This window comes from Homo sapiens, chromosome 13 (genome assembly GCF_000001405.40).
Source record: "Homo sapiens chromosome 13, GRCh38.p14 Primary Assembly".
Classification (NCBI taxonomy): Eukaryota; Metazoa; Chordata; class Mammalia; order Primates; family Hominidae; genus Homo; species Homo sapiens.
The window spans coordinates 56109079-56120338 of record NC_000013.11 but is presented as its reverse complement, the minus strand read 5'-3'; the positions used below and the strand labels follow the sequence as shown (position 1 = coordinate 56120338).

Sequence of the window (11260 nt, the reverse complement as noted above, 5' to 3'; positions counted from 1 at the left end):
TAAGAGAGTAGGTTCTATAAAATTTCTCTTCAGGCTTTCCCCAGATATTCTCCCTCCCCAGCTCAATGATGTCATAGCCAAAAGACAGTAGCATTGCAGAAAACAAATAGAATTTTTTTTTTAGAACTTCGTTAAAGGCACTATACCCAGAATACTGTCAATCTTTTGTCTGAACTTAGAACCCTCAGGAAAATCTCTACCTTGAGAATATGGTAGCTATTTGATTTGACTCAGAGCTCAGCACAGTGGGTAGTAGGAAGGTGGGGCAGAGGTAATTATGGTCTCTGGGTATTACCTGAAATCATAGCAAATTTACCTGCATAAGGCTGTGATTTCATTTGAGGAAAACAAGAATCTGTGCAGAAATTTAAAAGGAAATCCTGATGACAATAGGGAACCCTGAAAATCTCTGACATATTTCTGGGGATCCCAGGTTAAGTTTTTTTTTTTTTTTTTTCCAGACAGAGTCTCGCTCTGTTGCCCAGGCTGGAGTGCAGTGGCCCGATCTTGGCTCACCGCAAGCTCCGCCTCCCAGGTTCACGCCATTCTCCTGCCTCAGCCTCCTGAATAGCTGGGACTACAGGCGCCCGCCACTACGCCCGGCTAATTTTTTGTATTTTTAGTAGAGATGGGGTATCACCATGTTAACCAGGATGGCCTCGATCTCCTGACCTCTTGAATCCACCTGCCTCAGCCTCCCAAAGTTCTGGGATTACAGGCGTGAGCCACCATGCCTGGCCGTTAAGTTGTATTCTCACCCATATAAGACCTGGGAAAGGAAAAGGCACCACTCACTCACCTCTAGTTGGCTTGAAAGTGTTGCGAAAACTGCAAGTAAAAGCTAAGACTATTTTGTAAACTGCCTGAAGTTTGAAGAGGTATCTTTGCACATAGATCTCCACTGCAGAGAGTAAGACACATAGTCATTTAAGAAAGATTTGATCAATCATTGGCTGATCATTGATCAAGCCAGCCTTAACATTTCCTTCATCTTAGCCACACTAAGATAGACTTCTTTTTAAACAGCTTCTTGTCAGTATTATAACCAGGACTGTTTTGCAATGACCTGGAAGCTACCTCTTTGAAAGTAGTCATCAAGAAAGATAGCACTATTTATCAGTTTCTGTGGGACAGAGGAAGCCTAACTTCAATAGATACCTTGATCCAAGCTGTAAAACTACCCACTCCCATAAAGATATGAGAAAGTTTGCTTTACCTTTGTGTAATACCAATTATCAAATACAGCCTATGATCCACCTCATCCCCAGCTCTTAAAACTCCTCCTGCCTCTTATTTTATCAGAGTTGAGTTTAGACTACATTCTGGTCTCTCACTCCTATTATGGTAGCCTTGAATAAAGTATTTCTTACATGTTTTACTTTTTCCGAGACAAAAGAAACAAACAGAAAGTCCTGCTGGGGAGGTAATATTTTGGACTCAATAAAAAAAGACTTTAAATCAGCTGTTATGGATATGTCAAAGAACTAAAAACTATATCTATGGAATGTATAATTACAATATCTTACAAATAGAAAAACATTTTAAAATTTAAAAACAAATCATTTAAGATAAGTCAAATAGAAATTATAAAGAAGAAAAGTAAAATAACGGAAATGAAAACAAAATGAATGAGGTTTAACAATAGATTTTTAATAGTCGAGGAAAGAACCTGGAAACTGAAAATAGTCAGTAGAGAATATCCAGTCTGAGAAGTAGAAAGAAAAACAGCAAAGTAAAATGAACACAGACTCAACAAATAGAACAAAGGAACAGAAGAGAGAACCCAGAAATAAATCCACACATCTACAGTTAACTTATTTTCAAAAAAGTTACCAAGAGCATACATTGGGGAAAGGACAGTCTCTTTAACAAATGGTTCCAAGAAAACTGGATATCCATACGTAGAAAACTAAAACTAGACCCCATCTCTCACATATATATAAATCAAATCAAAATAGATTCAAGACTGAAACTTAAGACCTCAAACTATGAAACTGCTAAAAGAAAACACTGCAGAAACTCTCCAGGACATTAGTCTGGGCAAAGACTTCTTGAGTAATGCCTCAAAAGCATAGGCAATGTCAGGCCTCTGAGCCCAAGCCAAGCCATCGCATCCCCTGTGACTTGCACGTGTACGCCCAGATGGCCTGAAATAACTGAAGAATCACAAAAGAAGTGAATATGCCCTGCCCCACCTTAACTGATGACATTCCACAACAAAAGAAGTGTAAATGGCTGGTCCTTGCCTTAACTGATGACATTACCTTGTGAAAGTCCTTTTCCTGGCTCATCCTGGCTCAAAAAGCACCCCCACTGAACACCTTGTGACCCCCATTCCTGCCCGCCAGAGAACAAACCCTCTTTGACTGTAATTTTCCTTTACCTACCCAAATCTTATAAAACGGCCCCACCCTTATCTCCCTTCACTGACTCTCTTTTCGGACTCAGCCCGCCTGCAACCAGGTGAAATAAACAGCCATGCTGCTCACACAAAGCCTGTTTGGTGCTCTCTTCACACAGATGCGCATGAAATTTGGTGCCGTGACTCAGATCAGGGGACCTCCCTTGGGAGATCAATCCCCTGTACTCCTGTTCTTTGCTCCGTGAGAAAGATCCACCTATGACCTCAGGTCCTCAGACCTACCAGCCCAAGGAACATCTCACCAATTTTAAATCAGGTAAGCGGCCTCTTCTTACTCTCTTCTCCAACCTCTCTCACTGTCCCTCAACCACTTTCTCCTTTCCAATCTTCAATCTCTCCCTTCTCTTAATTTCAATTCCTTTCATTTTCTAGGAGAGACAAAGGAGATGCATTTTATTCGTGGACCCAAAACTCCGGTGCCAGTCACGGACTGGGAAGGCAGCCTTCTCTTGGTGTTTAATCATTGCAGGGACACCTCTCTGATTATACACCCACATTTCAAGGGTGTCAGACCACGCAGGGACACCTGCCTTGGTCCTTCACCCTTAGCGGCAAGTCCCGCTTTTCTGAGGAAGGGACAAGTACCCCAACCCCTTCTCTCCTTGTCTCTACCCCTTCTCTGCTTTTCTGGGAGAGGGGCAAGTACCCCTCAACCCTTTCTCCTTCACCCTTAGCGGCAAGTCCCGCTTTTCTACGGGGCAAGAACCCCCAATCCCTTATTTCTGCGCCACAACCTCTTATCTCTGTGCCCCAATCCCTTATTTCCATACCCCGACCTCTTATCTCTGCGCCCCAATCCCTTATTTCCATACGCCGACCTCTTATCTCTGTGCCCCAATCCCTTATTTCTGCGCCCCAACCTCTTATATCTCTGTGCCCCAATCCCTTATTTCTGTGCCCTGACCTCTTATCTCTGTGCCCCAACCCCTTTTCCCACTTTTCTGGGAGGTAAGAACCCCCGAACCCCTTCCCTCCATTTCTCTACTCTCTCTCTTCTCTAGGCTTGCTTCCTTCACTATAGGCAACTTTCCACCCTCCATTCCTCCTTCTACTCCCTTGGCCTGTGTTCTCAAAAACTTAAAACCTCTTCAACTCACACCTGACCTAAAACCTAAATGCCTTATTTTCTTCTGCAATGCTGCTTGTCCCCAATACCAACTCGACAGTAGTTCCAAATAGCCAGAAAATGGCACTTTGAATTTTTCCATCCTGCAAAATCTAAATAATTCTTGTCGTAAAATAGGCAAACGGTCTGAGGTGCCTGACGTCTAGGCATTCTTTTACACATCAGTCCCTTCCTAGTCTCTGTGCCCAGTGCAACTCGTCCCAAATCTTCCTTCTTTCCCTCCCACCTGTCCCCTCAGTACCAACCCCAAGCGTCGCTGAGTCTTTCTAATCTTCCTTTTCTGCAGACCCATCTGACCTCTCCCTTCCTCCCCAGGCTGCTCCTCGCCAGGCCGAGCTAGGTCCCAATTCTTCCTCAGCCTCTGCTCCTCCACCCTATAATCTTTTTATCACCTCCCCTCCTCACACCTGGTCCGGCTTACAGTTTCGTTCCGTGACTAGCCCTCCCCCACCTGCCCAGCAATTTACTCTTAAAAAGGTGGCTGGAGCCAAAGGCATAGTCAAGGTTAATGCTCCTTTTTCTTTATCCCAAATCAGATAGCGTTTAGGCTCTTTTTCATCAAATATAAAAATCCAGCCCAGTTCATGACTTGTTTGGCAGCAACCCTGAGACGCTTTACAGCCCTAGACCCTAAAAGGTCAAAAGGCCATCTTATTCTCAAAATACATTTTATTACCCAATCTGCTCCCGACATTAAGTAAAACTCCAAAAATTGGAATCTGGCCCTCAAACCCCAAAACAGGACTTAATTAACCTCACCTTCAAGGTGTACAATAACAGAAAAAAGTTGCAATTCCTTGCATCCACTGTGAGACAAACCCCAGCCACATCTCCAGCACACAAGAACTTCCAAACACCTGAACCGCAGCAGCCAGGCATTCCTGCAGAACCTCCTCCCCCAGGAGCTTGCTACAAGTGCCAGAAATCTGGCCACTGGGCCAAGGAATGCCTGCAGCCCAGGATTCCTCCTAAGCTGCGTCCCATCTGTGTGGGACCCCACTGAAAATCGGACTGTTCAACTCACCTGGCAGCCACTCCCAGAGCCCCTGGAACTCTGGCCCAAGCCTCTCTGACTGACTCCTTCCCAGATCTTCTCGGCTTAGCGGCTGAAGACTGACACTGCCGGATCACCTCGGAAGCCCCCTAGACCATCACGGATGCGGAGCTTCAGGTAACTCTCACAGTGGAAGGTAAGCCCGTCCCCTTCTTAATCAATACGGAGGCTACCCACTCCACATTACCTTCTTTTCAAGGGCCTGTTTCCCTTGCCTCCATAACTGTTGTGGGTATTGATGGCCAAGCTTCTAAACCTCTTAAAACTCCCCAACTCTGGTGCCAACTTAGACAATACTCTTTTAAGCACTCCTTTTTAGTTATCCCCACCTGCCCAGTTCCCTTATTAGGCTGAGACACTTTAACTAAATTATCTGTTTCCCTGACTATTCCTGGACTACAGCTATATCTCATTGCCACCCTTCTTCCCAATCCAAAGCCTCCTTTGCGTCCTCCTCTTGTATCCCCCAACCTTAACCCACAAGTATAAGATACCTCTACTCCCTCCTTGGCGACCGATCATGCACCCCTTACCATCTCATTAAAACTTAATCACCCTTACCCCACTCAATGCCAATATCTCATCCCACAGCACGCTTTAAAAAGATTAAAAGCCTGTTATCACTCGCCTGCTACTGCATGGCCTTTTAAAGCCTATAAACTCTCCTTACAATTCCCCCATTTTACCTGTCCTAAAACCAGACAAGCCTTACAAGTTAGTTCAGGATCTGCGCCTTATCAACCAAATTGTTTTGCCTATCCACCCTGTGGTGCCAAACCCATATACTGTCCTCAATACGTGCCTCTACAACCCATTATTCTGTTCTAAATCTCAAACATGCTTTTTTCACTATTCCTTTGCACCCTTAATCCCAGCCTCTCTTCGCTTTCACTTGGACTGACCCTGACACCCATCAAGCTCAGCAAATTACCTAGGCTGTACTGCCGCAAAGCTTCACAGACAGCCCCCATTACTTCAATCAAGCCCAAATTTCTTCCTCATCTGTTACCTATCTCGGCATAATTCCCATAAAAACACACGTGCTCTCCCTGCCAATCATGTCTGACTGATCTCTCAAACCCCAGCACCTCCTACAAAACAACAACTCCTTTCCTTCCTAGGCGTGGTTAGTGCGGTCAGAATTCTTACACAAGAGCCAGGACAACACCCTGTAGCCTTTCTGTCCAAACAACTTGACCTTACTGTTTTAGCCTAGCCCTCATGTCTGCGTGCAGCAGCTGCCGCTGCTTTAATACTTTTAGAGGCCCTCAAAATCACAAACTATGCTCAACTCACTCTACAGTTCTCATAACTTCCAAAATCTATTTTCTTCCTCATACCTGATGCATGTACTTTCTGCTTCCCGGCTCCTTCAGCTATACTCACTCTTTGTTGAGTCTCCCACAATTACCGTTGTTCCTGGCCTGGACTTCAATCCTGCCTCCCACATTATTCCAGATACCACACCTGACCCCCATGACTGTATCTCTCTGATCCACCTGACATTCACCCCATTTCCCCAAATTTCCTTCTTTCCTGTTCCTCACCCTGATCACGCTTGATTTATTGATGGCGGTTCCACCAGGCCTAATCGCCACACACCAGCAAAGGCAGGTTATGCTATAGTACAAGCCACTAGCCTGCCTCTTAGCACCTCTCATTTCCTTTCCATCGTGGAAATCTATCCTCAGGGAAATAACTTCTCAGTGTTCCATCTGCTATTCTACTACTCCTCAGGGATTATTCAGGCCCCCTCCCTTCCCTACACATCAAGCTCCAGGATTTGCCCCCACCCAGGCCTGGCAAATTAGCTTTACTCAACATGCCCGAGTCAGGAAACTAAAATACCTGTTAGTCTAAATAGACACTTTCACTGAATAAGTAAAGGCCTTTCCTACAGGGTCTGAGAAGGCCACCACAGTCATTTCTTCACTTCTGTCAGACATAATTCCTCAGTTTACCCCTCCCACCTCAATACAGTCTGATAACAGACGAGCCTTTATTAGTCAAATCAGCCAAGCAGTTTTTCAGGCTCTTAGTATTCAGTGAAATCTTTATATCCCTTATGGTCCTCCGTCTTCAAGAAAAGTAGAATGGACTAAAGGTCTTTTAAAAACACACCTCACCAAGCTCAGCCACCAACTTAAAAAGGACCAATACTTTTACCACTTTCCCTTCCCAGAATTCAGGCCTGTCCTCGGAATGCTACAGGGTACAGTCCATTTAAGCTCCTGTATAGACGCTCCTTTTTATTAGGCCCCAGTCTCATTCCAGACACCAGACCAACTTGGACTGTACCCCCCCGCCAAAAAAAAACTTGTCATCCCTACTATTTTCTGTCTAGTCATACTCCTATTCACCGTTCTCAACTACTCATACATGCCTTGCTCTTGTTTACACTGCCGGTTTACACTGTTTTTCCAAGCCATCACAGCTGATATCTCCTGGTGCTATCCCCAAACTGCCACTCTTAACTCTTGAAGTAAATAAATAATCTTTGCTGGCAGGACTATGCCGAATCTCCTTAAGCACTCTCTAATCAGATATCCTGAGTCGTACCAATTCTTAGACCTTTTATACCTGTTTTTCTCCTTCTGTTATTCCATTTAGTTTTTCAATTCATACAAAACCGTACCAGGCCATCACGAATCATTCTATATGACAAATGTTTCTTCTAACATCCCCACAATATCACGCCTTACCACAAGACCTCCCTTCAGCTTAATCTCTCCCACTCTAGGTTCCCACACTGCCCCTAATCCCGCTTGAAGCAGCCCTGAGAAACATCGCCCATTCTCTCTCCATACCACCCCCAAAAATTTTCGCCACCCCAACACTTCAACACTATTTTGTTTTATTTTTCTTATTAATATAAGAAGGCAGGAATGTCAGGCCTCTGAGCCCAAGCCAAGCCATCTCATCCCCTGTGACTTGCCCAGATGGCCTGAAGTAACTGAAGAATCACAAAAGAAGTGAATATGCCCTGCCCCACCTTAACTGATGACATTCCACCACAAAAGAAGTGTAAATGGCCGGTCCTTGCCTTAACTGATGACATTACCTCGTGAAAGTCCTTTTCCTGGCTCATCCTGGCTCAGAAAGCACCCCCACTGAGCACCTTGTGACCCCCACTCCTGCCCGCCAGAGAACAAACCCCCTTTGACTGTAATTTTCCTTTACCTACCCAAATCCTATAAAACGGCCCCACCCTTATCTCCCTTCGCTGACTCTTTTTGGACTCAGCCCACCTGCACCCAGGTGAAATAAACAGCCATGTTGCTCACACAAAGCCTGTTTGGGGGGTCTCTTCACACAGACGCGCATGAAAGGCAACAAAAGAAAAATGGATAAATTGGATCATATCAAGATAAAAAGCATCTGCACAGCAAAGGAAACAATCAACAAAGTGAAGACACAAACCACAGAATGGGGGGAAATATTTTCATACCATCTATCTGACAAAAGATTCATAATCAGCATATATAAGAAGCTCAAAAACTAATAAGAAAAAATTAAATAACTCGAATTAAAAATGGGTAAAAAATCTCAATAGATATTTCTCAAAAGAAGCCATACAAATGGCCAACATGTATACAAAAAAAATTTTTCAACATTATTAATCATCAGATAAATACAAATTAAACGACAATGAGGTATCATCAGAACTCGTTAAAATGGCTTTTATCCAAAATACGTGCTATAATGAATGCTGGCAAGGGTGTGGAGAGAGGGGAGTCTTCATACACTGTTAGTGAGAATGTAAATTGGGAGAGACATTGTGTAGAACAGTATGGAAGTTTCCAAAACAATGCAAATACAACTACTATTCAACCCAGCAATCCTACTGCTAGGTATACATCCAAAAGAAAGGAAATCAGTATATCGAAGAGATAGTTGTGCTCTTATGTTTATTGCAGGATTGTTCACAAAATCCAAGATTTGGAATCAGCCTAAGTGTCCATAAACAGATGAAAGGATAAAGAAAAGGTGTTATAGACAACGGAATATGATTCAGTCATGAAAAATAAAATCCTGTGACTTACAACAGCATTAGGGAACTGGATGACATTTTATTAAGTGAAATAAGCCAGACAAATTTGCATGTTCTCTCATTCATATGCAGAACTGAAAATTAAAACAATTTATTTCATGGACATAGACATAGAGAGTAGAATGATAGCAGAGGCTGAAAGAGGTAGGGGTGTGGTGGGGGTCGGGGAGGGAGTGGTGATGGATAATGGGTGTAAAAATATGGTAAGGTAGAATGAATAAGATTTAGTATTTGATAGCAAAACAGGGTGACCTTAGTCAACAATATTATACTGTATATTTTTAAATGACTAAAAGAGTGGAAATAGAATGTTCCTAACACAAAGAAATAATAAATGCTTGAGTTGATGGATACCTCAATTACCCTGATAAAATTATTACACATTATATGCTTATATCAAAACATCACATGCCACCCCATTAATATATACATCTATTACGTACCAATTATAATTAGAAAAATTTGAAAATTAAAATGCAAAAAAAAGTAATTGCTGAACTTAAAAAAATGTATCAACAAATACATACTGGAATTCTCAGAAGGAGAAAAGAAAGGGGGACATAAAACATATTTGAAAAAAATTGATGAAAATTTTCTAAATATGACGACAAATATTAATGTACACATAAAACAAACTCATCAACGTCATAGTAAACTAAACTGAGGCCAGGTACAATAGTTCATGCCTGTAATTGAGACAGCCAAGGCAGGAGGATTGCTTCAGTCCAGGAATTCAAGACAAGCCTGGGCAACACAATGAGATCCTATCTCTAGTGAAAAAAGCAAACCAAAAACAAACAAACAAAAACTGACAGAGTGTTTCACATAGTGTCATAATACTCGCAGTAACAATAAAGACAAAGGAAAGTCTTGCAAGCTGTAAAAAGAATGATTTTTCATGAATAAGATCCCCAGTCAAAAATTCTAAATTCAGCTGAACTCTCCTTCAAAAATAAAAGGTAAATTGAAATATTTCCAGATAAACAAAACATGGGATAAATATTTGCTGGTAGATCTGTCCTACAAAAAATACTGAAAAGAATTCTTTAGGTTACAGGAAAAGTCACTATACAGTAAGTCAAATCCACACGGAGAAATAAAGATCTCCAGTAAAGGTAACTATAAAGAATTTACAAAAGAAAATATAGACATATTTATAGTTTTAATAATGTCCTTTTCTTTCTATTTTAAAAGACAACTACATAAACTTCATAAAACTGCACTGATAGTCTTAAAATTTATACATATACAACTTTTCACTCGCGTCCGTGTGAAGAGACTACCAAACAGGCTTTGTGTGAGCAATAAAGCATTTAATCACCTGGGTGCAGGCAGGCTGAGTCCGAAAAGAGAGTCAGCGAAGGGAGATGGGGTGGGGCCATTTTATAAGATTTGGGTAGGTAAAGGAAAATTACAGTCAAAGGGGGTTTGTTCTCTGGTGGGCAGGAGTGGGGGTTGCAAGGTGCTCAGTGGGGGTGCTTTCTGAGCCAGGATGAGCCAGGAAAAGGACTTTCCCAAGGTAATGTCATCACTTAAGGCAAGGACCGGCCATTTTCACTTCTTTTGTGGTGGAATGTCATCAGTTAAGGCGGGGCAGGGAATTTTCACTTCTTTTGTGATTCTTCAGTTACTTCAGGCCATCTAGGCATATAGGTGCAAGTCACAGGGGATGCGATGGCTTGGCTTGGGCTCAGAGGCCTGACACAACTTATATGGCAATAAAGAAAAAAAAGAGGGAGAGAATGATAAAATATTTAAACAAAGTTCTTCTATATTATTGAAATTATGTTAGTGTCATTCCAAAATGGATTGTTTTAAGATGCTAATTTTAATTTTCAAGGCAACCACTAAGAAAATAATTCAAAAAGATAAAGGAAAGAAAAGCAAAATAAAAGGGTGCACTTGAAAATATCTATTTAACACACACACAGAAAGAAGGGATCGAGAAATAAAGGAACAAAGATGACAGAAGACATATCGAAATCATTAACAGAAAAACAGACATAAAACCTACCTTTTCAGTAATTAAATTAAATGGAAATTGGCCACTAAAATGAAAATATAGAGCTTATCAGAAATAGAATGAATAAAATAATGAAAGAATGTATAAGTATGGAAAGAGTATTTAAAAGAGAACTGGGACAACTATACTAAAATCAGATAAACTAGACTGTAAATGTTAAAGTTCCCTTAAGTAACTAAAAGTGTTATATAAGTAGTTACAGAAAGTGCTACTAGACACAAAAAAGGATATTTTATAGTAATGATAATAAGGTCAATTGATCAAGAATATATAACAATAAATTATGCAAGCCTCTAACACAAAGACTCAAAATACATAAAGTAAAACCAGACAGAATTAAAGGAATAAATAAATAATTCAAAAGTAATAGTTGGAGACTTAAATGCCTACTTTAAATAAGAGAACAACCAGACAGAAGATCAAAAAGGAAATGGAAGACTTGAACACTATAAACCAACTAAACCTAACAAACATCTTCAGAACACCCCACCCAGCAGCAGCAGAATATATATTCTTCTCATGTATTTATGAAACATTCTCCAAAATAGACCACATAATATACCATAAAACAAGCCTCAATGAAC

At 41.5% G+C, this 11260-nt stretch overlaps 4 annotated features.

The window, feature by feature from the left end:
• Positions 4151–4974: an enhancer, noted in NCBI's record as "H3K27ac hESC enhancer chr13:56689499-56690322 (GRCh37/hg19 assembly coordinates)". NCBI's record gives its function as "activates a minimal SCP1, AML or CMV promoter by ChIP-STARR-seq in primed H9 embryonic stem cells {active_cell/tissue: H9 hESC(primed)}" and the evidence as "EXISTENCE:reporter gene assay evidence [ECO:0000049][PMID:30033119]".
• Positions 4975–5799: an enhancer, noted in NCBI's record as "H3K27ac hESC enhancer chr13:56688674-56689498 (GRCh37/hg19 assembly coordinates)". NCBI's record gives its function as "activates a minimal SCP1, AML or CMV promoter by ChIP-STARR-seq in primed H9 embryonic stem cells {active_cell/tissue: H9 hESC(primed)}" and the evidence as "EXISTENCE:reporter gene assay evidence [ECO:0000049][PMID:30033119]".
• Positions 6901–7733: an enhancer, noted in NCBI's record as "OCT4-NANOG-H3K27ac hESC enhancer chr13:56686740-56687572 (GRCh37/hg19 assembly coordinates)". NCBI's record gives its function as "activates a minimal SCP1, AML or CMV promoter by ChIP-STARR-seq in naive H9 embryonic stem cells {active_cell/tissue: H9 hESC(naive)}" and the evidence as "EXISTENCE:reporter gene assay evidence [ECO:0000049][PMID:30033119]".
• Positions 7734–8567: an enhancer, noted in NCBI's record as "OCT4-NANOG-H3K27ac hESC enhancer chr13:56685906-56686739 (GRCh37/hg19 assembly coordinates)". NCBI's record gives its function as "activates a minimal SCP1, AML or CMV promoter by ChIP-STARR-seq in naive H9 embryonic stem cells {active_cell/tissue: H9 hESC(naive)}" and the evidence as "EXISTENCE:reporter gene assay evidence [ECO:0000049][PMID:30033119]".